At 46.6% G+C, this 17,323-nt stretch overlaps 1 protein-coding gene and 1 long non-coding RNA gene across 14 annotated transcripts in view; one reads left to right on the top strand and one right to left on the bottom strand.

Moving 5' to 3' along the window:
* LOC124905990 (uncharacterized) overlaps positions 1 to 4,646 on the bottom strand; it is a 118,030-nt gene extending 113,384 nt beyond the window's left edge. The window contains exon 1 of the long non-coding RNA XR_007086283.1: positions 4,417 to 4,646. This is a non-coding gene — a long non-coding RNA (uncharacterized LOC124905990). The remainder of the gene's footprint in view (positions 1 to 4,416) is intronic.
* Positions 1 to 12,002, top strand: part of VIT (vitrin) — a 118,088-nt gene extending 106,086 nt beyond the window's left edge. For 12 of the 13 annotated variants that reach the window (NM_053276.4, NM_001177969.2, NM_001177970.2 and 9 more), the window contains 3 exons: positions 2,646 to 2,872; positions 5,680 to 6,193; positions 11,391 to 12,002. In NM_053276.4, the coding sequence (NP_444506.2) occupies positions 2,646 to 2,872; positions 5,680 to 6,193; positions 11,391 to 11,569 (920 nt within the window). In that variant the 3' untranslated portion in view covers positions 11,570 to 12,002. The remainder of the gene's footprint in view (positions 1 to 2,645; positions 2,873 to 5,679; positions 6,194 to 11,390) is intronic. The other variant, NM_001391967.1, reaches the window with a different exon arrangement.

Below are 17,323 nucleotides of genomic sequence, written 5' to 3' on the forward strand. Positions count from 1 at the left end.
GAGTTTGGGTTCTGAGGACAGAATCCGTTCAACTGATTCCAACAGAAAGGGTTGGAATTTCAGGCTATTAAGTAGTTTGGAGAATCACTGTAAGAACTGAAGAAGCAGACTGTAGGCTGAGCTTTAAGAGATGATGTCTGAAGGCTTCCTGCAGAAGTAGGACCTCCAAGGGAGCTGCTCCTTCTTCCAAGATTAGGAAATCACTTTCTGAATTTTGCCATGGCAACCTCTTCAGAAACCTGCTTTGTCCAGGAAGCCAGCAGGATCAGGAGATCAGGAAGCTTCTTCTAGAGCTGCCAGCTCCAGAACCACGCCCTCCCTGTGCCATTCACACCCACAACATGGATCTCCACACCCTGCCGCCCCAAACCACTGCAGCTAGCAACCAACCCCAAGCACCTCTGCGGACAGTATCCCAGAGAAGTCAGATACTAAAGATATTTGTCAGCAGAAATATAAACAAAAGTACAGCCTCTGCCTCACTTTTATCTTCTAAATCTCATGCAAGTGCATCAATTCATGGAACTAAAACAAAGCTAAATCCCTAGCTGCAAGGGAGTCTGGAAAATGTAGTTTTCTGATTTCCAGCCTCTATTTTCAAGACCCACTGGAAGGTGGATGGAATGTGTGTTGAGCACTATACACCATGGCCTCCAGATATAAGGTTAGGTGGGGTTGAGGGGATCTTCTCATGGCGTCTTGTGCTCTGCCCTATAGGTGCCTAATATTAGGCCAGAGAGGACTTCCGGGTGCTTTGTGCTTTGGGAAAAATTGTCCATTGGCTATAAAAGCAATTCTTAGCAGCCAAGGTTTTTCCTTAGCAAGTGGGTTCTGTGCAGCCAGTTCACATGGGTTTTCCAAGACATTTCTGCAGCATCTGTATATGTAACCATTTGATGCTCTCATTTGACAAGTAAGATAATACCAGCTAGTGGAGACAGGATGCTGGCCAAAATCAGAAATGCATTGAGTATAATACTACTAATCCTAAAGTCTAAAGAAGGTGCTTCTTAACTTTTATGGAGATTGAGGACTCCTTTGAGAATTCCGTGAAAGCTATGGCCCTTCTATCCAGACAGATACTTATATACACAAAATACTGTGTATAATTTCAAGTGCCCTGGGGTTCACAGAGCCCAGGTTAAGAGCTCTGCCTACTCTATACAGCCATGCTGACTCTAGGGTGAACGGTCATCCCAGTTTTCCCAGAAAAACCTGGGGCTTTCAGTACTAAAACTGGGAAAGTCCTGGCAAACTGAGACAATTGGTCATTGTCTAGTTGACTCTGAAAATTTCCTGAAGCCCTTCTCAGTGTGAAATATGCACTTGGAAAAGTCATGGCAGGAGGCTTTGTAGCACTTCATGGCTGCTGCACTCAGCTGAAGTAGATTGCTGTTATGGAAAGCTAGGCCCAGAGATGTAGGGTGACCTACTCAGGGCCACACAGCTAGCAGGTAGCACAGCCAGGGCTAGAACACAGTCTGTCAGTTCCCAGTGGGTGCAACTCTTCCCTGCCCAACCAGACCTGTGCCCTTGGCCTGGAACTGGAGGAAAAACACTCCTGACCCCAGAACACAGCTCTGTACAGCCAGCAGGAGCCTCAGGCTCACCCCAGGCTGCAGGGGGCCAAGAAGAGGCTACTGTCACTCCAGGTCAACTCCTCCCACCCTACACTCTTGGAAACAACATGGGGCTGGCTTAGGGGCTTAGTGTGGGTCCAGCAGAAAAGGGGCACTTCTGTTCGCATGAAAGTCTTTGGCCAGGCACGGTGGTTCAAACCTGTAATCCCAGCACTTTGGGAGGCCGAGGCAGGCAGATCACAAGATCAAGAGATCGAGACCATCCTGGCCAACATGGTGAAACCCCATCTCTACTAAAAATACAAAAATTAGCTGGGTGTGGTGGTGCGTGCCTGTAGTCCCAGCTACTTGGCAGGCTGAGGCAGGAGAATCACTTGAACCTGGGAGGTGGAGGTTGCAGTGAGTCGAGATTGTGCCACTGCACTCCAGCCTGGCAACAGAGTGAGAATCTGTCTCAGGGAAAAAAAAAAAAAGTCTTTCTCACCTGCTTGCTGTCCCTAAAACTTTCTTCAAAGCGGAGACAATTAGAAGTTGAAGGCTTGAAATGAAACCAAAATGGACAGTGGTAACGGCTGCACATTGTGAACGTACTTAATGCCACTGAATTGTACACATAAAAATAGTTGAAGTGATTTTAAAAAAGTAACAGGCCGGGTGCAGTGGCTCATGCCTGTAATCTCAGCACTTTGGCAGGCTGAGGTGGGTGGATCACTTGAGCCCATGAGTTTGAGACCAGCCTAGGCAGCATGGCAAAACCTCGTCTCTACAAAAAAAACACAAAATTAACCAGGTACAGTGGCACACGCCTGTAGTCCCTTCTACTCAGGAGGCTGAGGTGGGAGGGTTGATGAAACTCAGGAGGTTGAGGCTGTAGTGAGCTGTGATCGAACCACTTCATTCCAGCCTGGGCAACAGAGCAAGACCCTGTCTCAAAGGAAAAAAAAAAAAAAAAAAACTAGGGAGGGAATGAGTGTATTTTTCTGGACCTCTTTGTGCTGCTGTGATCTCTTCCTGTATTTATAATCAGCGTGATCACTCCAAGCATGAATTTTCTTTTTCTTCCAGGTCGGGCCATCTCCTTTGTGACCAAGAACTTCTTTTCCAAAGCCAATGGAAACAGAAGCGGGGCTCCCAATGTGGTGGTGGTGATGGTGGATGGCTGGCCCACGGACAAAGTGGAGGAGGCTTCAAGACTTGCGAGAGAGTCAGGAATCAACATTTTCTTCATCACCATTGAAGGTGCTGCTGAAAATGAGAAGCAGTATGTGGTGGAGCCCAACTTTGCAAACAAGGTAGATGACTGCCCGGAGACCTACCCAACATCAGGATTTTCTGCACTCTGAAAAATTGTAACGCCGTTGCAGTGGTTTTCCCATGCCTTTAAATGTGCATGAAGCTCATCTCTAGGCAGTAAGGCCTCCAGGGAGGGACTGGTCAATCCGAAACCTGCAATTACCCTCTCAAAGCAAAACCCCACACCCACCAGCAGCTGTGGAGGAGCAGTGTACTCGAATTCTCAGCTAGGTTCTTCCTTGCTCCTTCCACAGCCCCAGGGGGGGTCTCACCCAGGCAGCCCAAGGAGCCTTTACACATGCATGCAAGCGAACATACTCTCTCTCTCTCTCTCACACACACACACACGCACACACACACACGCTTTCTCCTGTATACACACATTGCCGATTCATCAACCTGATAAACCAGAGAAAGGAGGCACTGAACCACAGCAGTGAGATCGCGTTTTCAGATGCTCCTCCTGGGTTCTGTGGAGATGCCCAGCAGGAGATGTGGAGCAATGCCTCCCTCACTCACTCCACCAAAGCTGTTCCCTTTGTACAGTGGAACACCACATAAAACTTCCTCCAAAGAAAAGGCTCCAGCTTTAAAATAGAAAGCAAGCCTTGGACAGGTTTGTCTTTGAGGCCCTTCCAGCTTTAATATTCTATGTGTCTACAGCCAGCAGGGCTCAACCTCCTGCACCACCTCAAACTGATGACCACTTCCTGCTCCTTGAAATGCCCTTCTCCCTGGACTTCCAGGATGCTGTATGGCTCTTATTTCATTGCCTCTTGCCTTTTTTCTACCCTCAATGTTGACCTCCCCAGGTCTACACCCTCCTCTTTAAGAGGCCCTCTCCTGCAGGATCCCTCCCAGGGTCACTGCTTCCACCTTTATCTCTTTTTTTCTTTTTTCAGACGGAGTCTCACTCTGTCGCCCAGGCTGGAATGCAGTGGCGCGATCTCGGCTCACTGCAGTCTCCGCCTCCCAGCTTCAAGCAATTCTCCTGCCTCAGCCTCCCAAATAGCTGGGACTACAGGCACACACCACCACGCCCAGCTAGTTTTTTTATTTTATTTTATTTTTTTATTTTTAGTAGAGATGGGGTTTCACCATGTTAGCCAGGATGGTCTCGATCTCCTGACCTCTTGATCCTCCCGCTTCAGCCTCCCAAAGTGCTGGGATTACAGGCGTGGGCCACTGCGCCCGGCCCTACCTTCATCTCTTGAGCTCTGTAGCCATCCATTTTCAGCTGACTGACTTTTCTCCACCTGATGTTCTACCAGAACCTTAAATCCCACCTATAACAAGCCAAGTTCATCATCCTTCCCGCTGAACTGTTTCCTCCTCTGGACTTTACATGAATGACCACACACCCATCCCAGAGGGCAGTGTCACCCCAGAACTCCTCATCAGCTCCCACATCACAGATCTCTCTCCCTCCTCTTTCCCTCGCCTGACGCCCCCTCCCCAGTTCAAGCTGGTACCCTCCATCTGGTCCTTCTCCCTCCTGGTGCTCCCCAGGTTAGTTTAGATTTCACAATGAAGCCCAACTCACATTTCTGATGGGTTCCCTCAGTCCTGTGGGGTCCTTGCTCCAAATCCTTCATTGCTACCCATTGCTCTCAAGGCCTTCTGGGGTGCAGTCCCAACCTACTCTCCTGGCCCATCTATTATGACCCCCCACAGCCCTGTGTTCAGTCCAGCTAGTCTCCCATCCACACCCAGCACCGCCTCTGTCTCCTGCTGTGACTTCACTGCCTGGTGGAAATCCCTCCCTCCATCTGTTGGCCAGAATTCAGCTCAAGCTCAGCACTTACCTCACATGTCATGAGCTCCACGGAAAGTTTTGTGAACTCCATTTAGGTTTTTACAAATCAATTTTTGAAAAATATTTTCCAGGAAAGTTTGAAGCCATCTCTTGTTCTAAAATAATCTTTTAATTATACAAGGGTAGTTGTCTGGTCTGACTCTTTCTGTGACCCAGAGGCAGGGGTAAGGAAGAAACACCACGCCTTGGGAACATTATACCAGCCACTTCCGGGAGCGCAACAATCAGTTTGCTCAAGGTGTATTTGCAGCTGCCTTATTTTTTTCTGGAATAAGCTTAGGCACTGGTAAATAAATATTCATTTGCCTGGAGGCAGAGTTGTCTGGTTCTGAAGGTGAATAGGTTTGTGTTCCAATCTCAGGGACTCAGGGAAGTCCCCTCATAGCTTAGTTTGTTCCTTTGTGGCAGGGGGTTATGATTCCACCTTGTAGGGTGAAGGTGGGGATTTAATGAGAGAATCATTCCAAGAGCATCTGATGGGACCCCTAACATGTGGTCATTCAGCAACTGTGGGATCCCTTCCCGCCTGGAACAGGGCTGCTCTGGAGACATTTCCATAGCGATTTCTTGTGTATGTCATCTCTTTTCCGAACTGGAATAAAAGCTTTCTTTAGTCCTCTCATGCCATGGTACCCACGAATTCCAATCTTATGGCTGGCTGCCAGTACAAAGGAGGAGCCCGGAGAAGCATAAATGTGAAGCTGACACCAGAGATTTAATTTCTCCCTATGAATTTGCTTAGCAGACAGCTTTCCACTAACGCAGGCAGGGACTCAGCTGAGGGAGTAGGACTGAGTCCAGCGATAACCCGGGGGCTTCGCCTCAGTGAGTGGCCGCTGGGTGAACCGAGATGGAAGAACACGGTAGGAGGGCTAGTGCAGAAAACAAGGGCCTGCTTGCTTCTTCACCTGCCCCGGGGGATCAAGCCTAATGGTGACACTGGAGGATTTGACCCTGACGTGGCGTGGGTCCCTCCCCTCTGTCTTCTAGGCCGTGTGCAGAACAAACGGCTTCTACTCGCTCCACGTGCAGAGCTGGTTTGGCCTCCACAAGACCCTGCAGCCTCTGGTGAAGCGGGTCTGCGACACTGACCGCCTGGCCTGCAGCAAGACCTGCTTGAACTCGGCTGACATTGGCTTCGTCATCGACGGCTCCAGCAGTGTGGGGACGGGCAACTTCCGCACCGTCCTCCAGTTTGTGACCAACCTCACCAAAGAGTTTGAGATTTCCGACACGGACACGCGCATCGGGGCCGTGCAGTACACCTACGAACAGCGGCTGGAGTTTGGGTTCGACAAGTACAGCAGCAAGCCTGACATCCTCAACGCCATCAAGAGGGTGGGCTACTGGAGTGGTGGCACCAGCACGGGGGCTGCCATCAACTTCGCCCTGGAGCAGCTCTTCAAGAAGTCCAAGCCCAACAAGAGGAAGTTAATGATCCTCATCACCGACGGGAGGTCCTACGACGACGTCCGGATCCCAGCCATGGCTGCCCATCTGAAGGGTAAGCTGGGCTTGCCAAGCAGCCTGGTGCTGAGGCTGCTTTCTGGGGCTTGGTGGGCCAGTGGGACAAGGAAGGTATTGTCTTTTTATGCATTGGTTTTTTCTGCGACTTAATAAAAATGTTCAAAGCCGCAGGGAGGGCATTAGGGGTAGAAACACTGCAAGCCCCTCTGAGTAGGGAGAAGGAACAAGGATGGGGCAGCAAGGTGGTCTCCTAAGTGTCATTACAAACCCATGGCCTGTGGATGACTGGGCGCATTAACCCTTTCTTTACATCCTGCACCCTGAGGCATTTCCCACAAGAGCATGATACATTAAAAGGGAATTTGACTCATCACTTTACCTCTATTAAAAACACCAAACCTCCATCTCTATTGAATATGTCAAATTGTACTGGTACTTAGACCACCAACTTGTGTTAGTAACTTTTATTTATTTATTTATTTATTTTGAGACAGAATCTCACTCAGTCGTCCAGGCTGTAGTGCAACGGTGCCATCTCCAATCACTGCAACCTCTGCCTCCCAGGTTGAAGCAATTCTCCTGCCTCAGCCTCCCAAGTAGCTGGGATTACAGGCATGTGCCACCACACCCGGCTAATTTTTGTATTTTTAGTAGAGATGGGATTTCGCCATGTTGGTCACGATGGTCTCGAACTCCTGACAGGTGATCCTCCTGCCTTGGCCTCCCAAAGTGCCAGAATTACAGTAGTGAGTCACCATGCCTAGCCATGTACTGGTACCTTTTAAGGAAAAATAATGTTTTTAAAGACAAGTACTTTTTCTGTAAGCAACTGTTAACCAGATTCGTGGGGCTTCAGGGAAACCTGAAAGGAATTTCGATTCAAAATATTTAAAGAGACCAGGCATGGTGGTGCACGCCTATTATCCCAGCTACTCGGCAGGCTGAGGTGGGAGGATTACTTGAGCCCTGGAGTTGGAGGCTGCAGTGATCTATGATTGCACCACCACACTCCAGCCTGGGCAACAGAGCAAGATCCTGTCTCAAAAAAAAAAAAAAAAAAGGGCCAGGCACAATGGCCCACGCCTGTGATCCCAGCACTTTGGGAGGCTGAGGCGGGCGGATCACCCGAGGTTGGGAGTTCGAGACTAGCCTGACCAACATGCAGAAACCCCGTCGCTACTAAAAATACAAAATTGGCCAGGCAAGGAGGCACACGCCTGTAATCCCAGCTACTCAGGAGGCTGAGGCAGGAGAATTGCTTGAACCCCAGAGGTGGAGTTTGCTGGTGAGCCGAGATCGTGCCATTGCACTCCAGCCTGGGCAACAAGAGCAAAACTCTGTCTCAAAAAAATAAAATGTTCAAAGAGCTATGTCCACATAAAAATTTCTAAGAGGGCAACAAAATTTTAAAATATGAAAAATGAGCAAAATATGTCTGTAAATGTTTAGAAAATCAGCCACGTTTATGCCTTTATTGCAGAATTTATGTATAATCACTGATCCAAAAAGTGTCATAAGTTATCAAGAACATAAACAGCCTGGAGAAAACCCCAAGTGATAATAATAATACTACTACTAATAAAAGTAAACCAAGTAGTCAATGAACACCAATGCCCTGTAGACAAATATGAATATACACAACTCACTCAGTGCTGTGGTTGTTATTTCTTCTTCTGTGCCTAAATTTTTTTTTTTTTTTTTCTGAGGCAGTGTCTTGCTCTGTCACCCAGACTGGAGTGCAGTAGCACGATCTCTACTCATTGCAACCTCTGCCTCCCGGATTCAAGCGATTCTTCTGGCTCAGCCTCCCGAGTAGCTGGGATTACAGGCACACACCACCACGCCCAGCTAATTTTTGTATTTTTGGTAGAGACAGGGTTTCACCGCATTGGCCAGGCTTTTCTTGAACTCCTGACCTATAGCCATCCACCTACCTCAGCTTCCCAAAGTGCTGGGATCACAGGCATGAGCCACTGCACCTGGCTTCTGTGCCTACATTTAATTTCAGTTATTTGGCAGGATTTTCTGAATGGTTGAAAGCTACTTTCATTTCTTCCTAAAACAAGCCTTAATGAATCAACAATGCTGGTTCCTAGAATCCAAAGTAGCCAGAGACGGGGTTCAGGCAGAGTCTTCCCGGTGACTTACCCTTTATGGAGCCTGTAGGGCACCCTCATAATGGTGGGATGGCTGGTGGCCTGCATGCCAACAATCACAAGGTCCACCAGGCTCATATCAGCAGATTGAAGACGGATTAAGGCTCAGAAGCAACTGGCCCAAACTCCTAGATTGAATGGGCAGAGCCAGATGGGCCAGCTTTGACGGCAAGCCCAAGGCTCTCCTGCTTTCTCCAAACATCTGTCCCCAGTTTGTGCTCAGCTACATCATCACTTTTTTTTCTAGATGTACGTCTTTTGGGCCTCAATCAGAGGGTATCCTTGGCCTACTCATCAGGAAAAATGAAGACTGAGGGAAATGGCTGAGGTGCTGTCAGCGCAGCCTTAATGAACTAGGACCAAAATATGCAAATTACCTGGAGGCAGATTCTTACTCAGCTTAACACTGAGATTTGTCTGCAAATGTAATGAGCATTGTGTTCCTGGGAGTATCCAAGTCAAGGCTGGGTGACCATCTGTTAGAATTGCCAGTAGGAGATTCTGTACAACAAGAGTGGACTTGGGATCTGGAAAACTAAATTTATTTTCTTTTTTTTCTTTCTTTCTTTTTTTTTTTTTTCTTTTGAGACGGAGTTTCGCTCTGGTTGCCCAGGCTGGAGTGCAATGGCACAACCTTGGCTCATTGCAACCTCCGCCTCCTGGGTTCAGGCGATTCTCCTGCCTCAGTCTCCCGAGTAGCTGGAATTACAGGAACCTGCCACCACACCCAGCTAATTTTTTTTGTATTTTTAGTGGAGACGGAGTTTCACCATGTTGGCTAGGCTGGTCTTGAACTCCTAACCTCAGGTGATCCACCCACCTCAGCCTCCCGAAGTGCTGGGATTACAGGTGTGAGCCACCACGCCTGGCCCGGAGAGCTAAATTTCTAATACTGTTTGCGTAGTTTTTTAAGGGCAACCTCTCCATCTTTGAGCGGGAAGGAGGGCTTAGACTGTCTAAACCCAGCTCTGCAGCAAAGCTGCTCTCACTGACACCTGGCAGCACTTTAAAGCCCAAAGCTGGCTCCTTCCAATCTAGACAATGTTCCGAGAAAAGAAACTGGAGGAGGGAGAAAGGGGACTGGCAGCTTAAATGCAATTTAATGGACCACAATCAAAAAGCAGCTTAGGTCAGAGCCACGTGAGGTATGCACGGCTCTCCCAGGCACCCAGAAGATGCTGGAAATAGTGACAACACTGTGGGGGACTCGGGGGGAGGTGCCAGGGCAGGAAGGCTACATCCAGGCTCTGCCCTCTGTTTCATGGCCATTTTGCTTACCCTACTCAGACCAGCCTGAAGGTGGCGCGAGAATAGGCTATTGTAGAGTAAGGTCAAGCACCTGCTGACCAGCTGTCCACAACCCAAATCAAGACCCACCACCCCGGGCAGTCTCCCAGTTTTCCCACTAAGATTGGATGCCTTATCTCTGAATCCCATCCTCTCCTCCCTGGGTCATCTTCTCCCCACTGCAATCCAACACCTGCAGTCTTATTTTACTCCTTCCCATTTGCACCTAGACATGCTCCAGTTCCTCCCTCCCTATAAATAAAACATTTTCTGTGACTCCATGTTCTGCTCCAGTTACCACCTACTGACTCCCTTTCACAGCCAAACTTCAGGAAAGGAGATGCTGACCCCACATGCTCACTTCTTTTTCAGTCTCAACTCACAGTAGTTCATTTGGTTTCTTTGGCATCTTCTTCCCTGAAACTGTTCTCACCAAACTACCAGTGTCTTGGTTTTGTTTTTTCTTCTTCTTTTTTTTTTTTTTTTTGAGATGGAGTCTCGCTCTGTCACCCAGGCTGGAGTGCAGCGGTGCCATCTCGGCTCACTGCAACCTTATGCCTCTGAGGTTCAAGTGATTCTCCTGTCTCAGCCTCCCGAGTAGCTGGGACTACAGGCATGTGCCACCACCCCTGGCTAATTTTTTGCAAAAAAAAAAAAAAAAAAAATAGGATTTTTTGTGACCTCGTGATCCACCCACCTCAGCCTCCCAAAGTGCTGGGATTACAGGCATGCGCCACCGCACCCAGCCTGTTTTTGCTTTTTTAAAAATCCAATGAGGCCAGGCACGGTGGCTCATGCCTGTAATCCCAGCACTTTGGGAGGCCGAGGCAGGAGGATCACTTGAGGTCAGGAGTTCGAGACCAGCCTGGCAAACATGGTGAAACCCTGTCTCTACTAAAAATACAAAAATTAGCCAGGTGCAGTGGCACATGCTGTAATCCTAGCTACTCGGGAGGCTGAGGCACAAAAATCTCTTGAACCTGGGAAGCGGAGGTTGCAGTGAGTGGAGGTCACACCATTGCACTCTAGTCTGGGTGACAGAGTGAGATTCTGTCTCAAACAAACAAACAAAAACCCATTGAGCACTTTTTCATGTTCATCTTACATGACTGCCCTGTAGCACCCAACAGTGTTGGACACCCCTTTCTTTATCTTGGAAGCCTTTCTTCATCACAATGTTGGAACACATGCTGGGGACCATCTCTCTGGCACCTTTGGCAAGGGTTCCTGCACTGGAAATGAGGTTGGATTCAATGGTTTGTAAAGTCACCCTCAAGCCTAAAGTGATTCCATTCCACTGTTTTAGTTTAAAAGATCTTGAACCAGCTTTTGATGGCATTTAAGGCTCTCTCAGATTTTGCTTGGCTCTTCCCACTGGTAGAGCAGGCATGTGTCATGTATTCTGATCTGCATGGCCCCAAAAGTTTCACTTGTCCCAAAATATCTTCCCCTCTTCTATTCCCAAACATGAAATTCTTACCATGTTATTTACTCCATTTTGTTCATTGTTTCCTAAAATACTATAAACTCCTGAGATAACAATTATATAAACGTTGTTACTGTTGGCATAGAGTGTATGCTCAAAGGCATTTATTGAGTGAATAAATGAATGGCCATACTTAGTCTTTATTCTGGAAACCTAGAGGCCTGTAGCGTATTTTTGGTTTTGTTTTGTTTGGGCATATTTCTGATTTTGGATTTGGCTGTGCCAACAGGGCCACAAGAAGAGAGAGATTCTTTAGCAGCACCTTTACTTGGGGACATTTGTTCATCTAACCTTTGTCCCCACAGGAGTGATCACCTATGCGATAGGCGTTGCCTGGGCTGCCCAAGAGGAGCTAGAAGTCATTGCCACTCACCCCGCCAGAGACCACTCCTTCTTTGTGGACGAGTTTGACAACCTCCATCAGTATGTCCCCAGGATCATCCAGAACATTTGTACAGAGTTCAACTCACAGCCTCGGAACTGAATTCAGAGCAGGCAGAGCACCAGCAAGTGCTGCTTTACTAACTGACGTGTTGGACCACCCCACCGCTTAATGGGGCACGCACGGTGCATCAAGTCTTGGGCAGGGCATGGAGAAACAAATGTCTTGTTATTATTCTTTGCCATCATGCTTTTTCATATTCCAAAACTTGGAGTTACAAAGATGATCACAAACGTATAGAATGAGCCAAAAGGCTACATCATGTTGAGGGTGCTGGAGATTTTACATTTTGACAATTGTTTTCAAAATAAATGTTCGGAATACAGTGCAGCCCTTACGACAGGCTTACGTAGAGCTTTTGTGAGATTTTTAAGTTGTTATTTCTGATTAGAACTCTGTAACCCTCAGCAAGTTTCATTTTTGTCATGACAATGTAGGAATTGCTGAATTAAATGTTTAGAAGGATGACATGCAATGTTTCTGACTGTGTCTTTTGTACACAAGTTTCGTGGCAGGGCCACCATTTGCTCTCCTCAGTTCCCAGAGCAACTTCTCTGGGCTCACAACTGGCCTAAGGTAACAACACACCTGTAGAGGTGCAGAGACAATGTACAGTGATGTTGCTTCTCCTGATGTGCCTCCCTCGCTGTTGTCTGAGTCGATGAATACTTGCCACATGATGCTTTAGGAGCAGCCAGCTCTTGAGGACCAAGCTGATCTTGCTTAAAAGTGGGGCAGTAGACCAGGCGCGGGGGCTCACGTTTGTAATCCCAGCACTTTCAGAGGCTGAGGCAGATGGATCGCCTGAGGTGAGGAGTTCGAGAACAGCCTGGCCAACATGGTGAAACCTCGTCTCTACTAAAAATACAAAATTAGCATGGTGGCACGAACCTGTAGTCCCAGCTACTTGGGAGGCTGAGACACAAGAATTGCTTGAACCCAGTAGGTGAAGGTTGCAGTGAGCCGAGATTGTGCCACTGCACTCCAGCCTGGGCCACAGAGTGAGACTCTGTCTCCAAAACCAAAAGTGGTGTAGTAGGCTGTGCATTAGAATCACTTAGGAGACTACAGTGCTGGTTCCCAAGCTCCACCGCAGTACCAGTGAAATCTGAGTCCCTGGGATTGGAGCTTGAACATTGGCACGTTTTAAGAGCTCTCTGGTGATTTGTATCTGCTGCCGTGATCTAGAAGCACTGAGCTACCCTTGAGGAGTTAGTGTTACATTTCCCCAAAGAGGCCCCATTTTTACCTGCTGCCCTGGGTCCATCCAGTTGAGCATTTCTCTTGGATTTCTCATTTGTTAACCAAATATTATTGCTAGCTGCATTAAAATAAGCTGGGATGAGTTTGGTTGCACTTCACTTTTTACTTCCAGCTTCTCCAAAGACTCACCTATCAGCATGTGAAATATATGTGTAATTGGGAAATGTCCAAAAGAATTATAAATAGAGATGACTTACTTGATAGGTTATGTTTTATAAAAATATATTGTGAAGAATACTACTCTGAATGGGAGCAGAAACAGTAATTGTGTCAATATTTGGGACAAAATATTTACATAAAAAATTAGAATCGAGGATATCATTCAGTCAGCAGAATTTACACTGAGCTTACCAAATTTCTTAATAGCTGAAGAGAGAGTATATTGTCAATTGAAAATATTGTGGTCTACAGAGAAGAATCAATTAAAGGTGTCAACAATTTCAGATTTATTTGCCATAAAATTTACTTTGAATGCAATTACAATTTTGTCCAAAAACTTCAAAATATAAATCTGGGTTTTTTTTTAAAGGAAATTCTTCAGAAAGATACTGGTGACACTCTATTCATGCCAGACTCAGCTAAGAAGCTAATTTAGGCCGGGCATGGTGGCTCATGCCTGTAATCCCAGCACTTTGGGAGGCCAAGACGGGTAGATCACAGGAGATCAGGAGTTCAAGAGCAGCCTGACCAACATAGTGAAACCCCGTCTCTACTCAAAATACAAAATTAGCTGGGCATGGTGGTGCATGTCTGTAGTCTCAGCTGCTTGAAAGGCTGAGGAAGGAGAATCGCTTGAATCTGGGAGGTGGAGGTTGCATGAGCCGAGATGGTGCCACTGCACTCCAGCCTGGGTGACCTGGGTGACAGAGTGAGCAGAGTGAGTTTGAGACTCCGTCAAAAAAAAAAAAAAAAAAAGCTAATTTTAAAAACTTAAAGAAGGACTAAGAACGATTATTCCGCCTACATCTTTGCATGTGAAGATAAACCCCATAAAGGAGTTTTTCAACATTGCTTCCATGTACACATACAAGTTATTTGGATTTTTTAAAGAAATATTTTATTTTGGAAAATGGTTTTTGAATCTAGTTATTTTATAGGGGCCTTAATATAAAAACCAATTTGTCATCAATAAGTAAATATTTCCAAAAGTAATATAATTTTAATTATTTTGGTGTCCTCTTTCACTCACAAACCTGTCCCAGTTAGGAAAATAAATGATATGGTCACCCTAGTTATAGGCATTATAAATTTGAGGATAACTGGCACCTCTTCCAATGAGTCTGTTGTCTACGCATTGTCAACAAATATTGAGTGTATGCTATGGGGGCGGGGACAAAGGTCATAGGGAGTGAGACACTCAAAGGCTATGGTGGCATCAGAATTGTCGGTATGGATGTTCCAGTCACCAAAGACAATGACAGGAGTCGGGATGGAGAGAATATAGCCAGGCTCTGGCACCTTCTGCCAATGAGAGGAAGTGACTCAGAGATTCGTAGAAGGCAACAGTGATGAGTTTGAGGGGCTGAATACAATCTGAGGCGAGACCTTCAAGGGAGCTGAGACTTTGAAGGAGGACTAGGAAGGGGAGAGTGAGGAAGGGGCAGTGGAGCAAAGGGCAGACCTATCCCCCATTCCAGACGCGAAATACGTGGGGTGAGAGATGAAAAACAGCCTCCACTTGGGAGTTTGCAAGAGACAACCTGGTTTCAGATAAGCAGGCCAGGAAGGTGAAGGGGCTGAGGCTTCTGGGAGCTTGCTGACAGCAGAGAGGAGCTCCCTGAGTCCCAGGGGGAAGGCTGGGTGGGGAGTGGGGTAGGTCAAATCAGAGTTTGCACAGAGCAGTTTGGGGATAAAAGTTCTGGGGATGTTGGATGAGTGAGAGGCTTGGAAATGACTGTCACCTCCCGCAACCTAAACTGTGCCTAATGTTGCTGAGGCAGGCCTAAAATCTTAACACTAGAAACAGAGCCTTCGAGACAATCTATGTCAATCCCTCAAATTGCAAAAGAGGAAACCCAGGCCACAAGAAGGTTGTGCAAATATGGAGGGACAGAACCAGAATTTGGATCTGTCTGCTGACCTACTGGCTCATGTGACCACTTTTGTCGGGGTCAGAGACCCCCACCCCATCCCCATCCCCACCCAACTTGGCTCTGCAAACTCCTGGGCTCTCGACTGGCCTTTGCAAAGCTCTCTGGGTCCTGCAGACTCTGGAGCCAGTCTCCTAAGGCAACTCCATCCTTCATTCCGTGGTCTTAATAGAAAAATCTCTTCCATGCCCTTTCCCCTCAAACTCAACCAACACAAGCACACAAGGGCCATCAGTCCAGCTGCTCTGTGCATATGACGTCTAAACTTCACTTGACTTAATTTTCCCATTTCTCAGGAGTTAAGGCCCTTTGGCAGACTTTTCTTTACTGAGGCTCAAAGTTTTGCAACAAGGCTCTGCTAAAAAACTTTCTGGCCATACTGATGGTGTTCAGAGGTTACTGGTTTCTCTGGGCTCTTTAAACATTTTGAACAGGACAAAACCTCCATAAAGCAAAAGCCTCCCAGCAGCAGTCTCAAGGGGCCACCATGGGTTTATCGACAAGATAATGCTTCTGTGTCCAAGGATATTCCAGCTTACAAAATGAATTTACAAACAATAATGTTTTCCGATCAAAATCCTAAGAAAAGATCCTCCCTTAGATTACCAATATATAAATGTGGTAAGTAGGAAATATGCTTGAAAGCACGAATTCAATTACCTTGAAAACAGACATTTATGCAAGTAATGCCTTTGAGGAATTCACAGTCCAGTGAGAAACCACACACAAATGAGTAATTAAAATCATACAATTGCTATCATGGAATTATGCACAAAGTGCATAACTGGCAATTGCAAACAATCTCATGAGAAATAAAGTTGGGATAATGCCTGACAGTGAGTGTTTGTCATATGCTGGGCCGTGTTCTGAGGACTTCATATGTATTAACTCACTTATCCCTATGATTTGCTGAGAAAGATTGCCTTAGTCCATTTTATGCTGCTATAACAGAATACCTAAGACTAGGATGGTGAGAGAGAGCAGGAGAGAGAAAGGAGGCTGAATTCATCCTTTTATCAGGAATCTACTCCTGCCATAACAAACCCACTCCCGTGACGTCATTAATCCATTTATGAGGGCAGTGCCCTCCTGATCTAATCACCTCTCAAAGATCCTACCTCTCAACACAGCTGCATTGGGAATTAAGTTTCCATTGCATAAACTTTGGGGGATGCATTCAAACCATAGCAAACATACTCTTCTTATTGTCACTGAACACATCCTGCAACTGAGGCATGGAGACATCAGTAACTTGCCCAAGGTCTTATCACTGATATGAGGCAGATCCGAAAAGGAAGCTCAGACAACCTGAATCCAGGCTCCAACTTCTCAGCAGCCACTTGGCTCCTTACAACAGTGGCCCAAAAAAATAACCCAAGTGGCTGCATAGGGAGTTCTCTATTAAGTGTCTCAATTTAAAATATACATATAATTCCAAAAAATGTACTCCCAAAGTCTATGAAATGTACAATGTGAACAGAGTCTGTTAAATATTCAATGCAAACTCCACTTTCTCCCATCACTCATCCTGATTCTCTGGACAGCCATCCTGCCCTCATTTAAAGTGGGTGATTTGCAGCTGAAGTCCACAGTCCCTGTAGATGATTGAAGACTTTGGACTCCCCTATTAGCTTGATAAACTCTGACTCATTCTTCAAGTCTCAGTCCAAATGCTACTTCCTTTTTGGGGCCTTCCCTGGTTCCAAATAGACTTAGGCTCTCTGGATACAGAACCCTGACCCACCTATTCTCCAGAAACTTGATCCCTTCTCACGAGGAGACACAACCTATACACATCATTAAGGACATGGGATCCAGAAAATGAAAACTTTGACCCTAAGTCGCCTGATGGCGCCAACCACAGATACATTGGTACTGGTAGAATGCGAGGCAGACATTTCAGCAGGAAAGAAACAGAATATGATGGCAAGAGAAAGAGAGGCTCTTATTCCATCCAGACTACACCACCCTTCCCAATGCCCTCCTATTCATTATATGCTACAGTCATGGTTTTTCTAGGACCAGAATCTTCTTTGGGTATCTACCCATGGGGTAACTCTGTTCCTCACCTTATGTTCTCATTTCTCCTGCAGAAAGGCAAACTCAATTTTTTTTTTTTTTAATACACAGTTTCACTCTGTCACCCAGGCTGGAGTGCAATGGCACCATCTCAGCTCGCTGCAACCTCTGCCTCCTGGGTTCAAGTGATTCTCATGCCTCAGCCTCCCAAGTAGCTAGGGTTACAAGCGTACACCACCATACCCAGCTAATTTTGTTTTGTATTATTAGTAGAGATGGGCTTGGCCAGGCTAGTCTCAAACTCCTGACCTCAAGTGATCCACCCACCTCGGCCTCCCAGAGTGCTAGGATTACAGGCGTGAGACACCGTGCCCAGCCAGAAATGCAAACTCTTTTTTTTGTTTGTTTATTTTTCTGAGTTTTA

The sequence above is a fragment of the Homo sapiens genome, chromosome 2, assembly GCF_000001405.40.
Source record: "Homo sapiens chromosome 2, GRCh38.p14 Primary Assembly".
NCBI classification, from domain to species: Eukaryota; Metazoa; Chordata; class Mammalia; order Primates; family Hominidae; genus Homo; species Homo sapiens.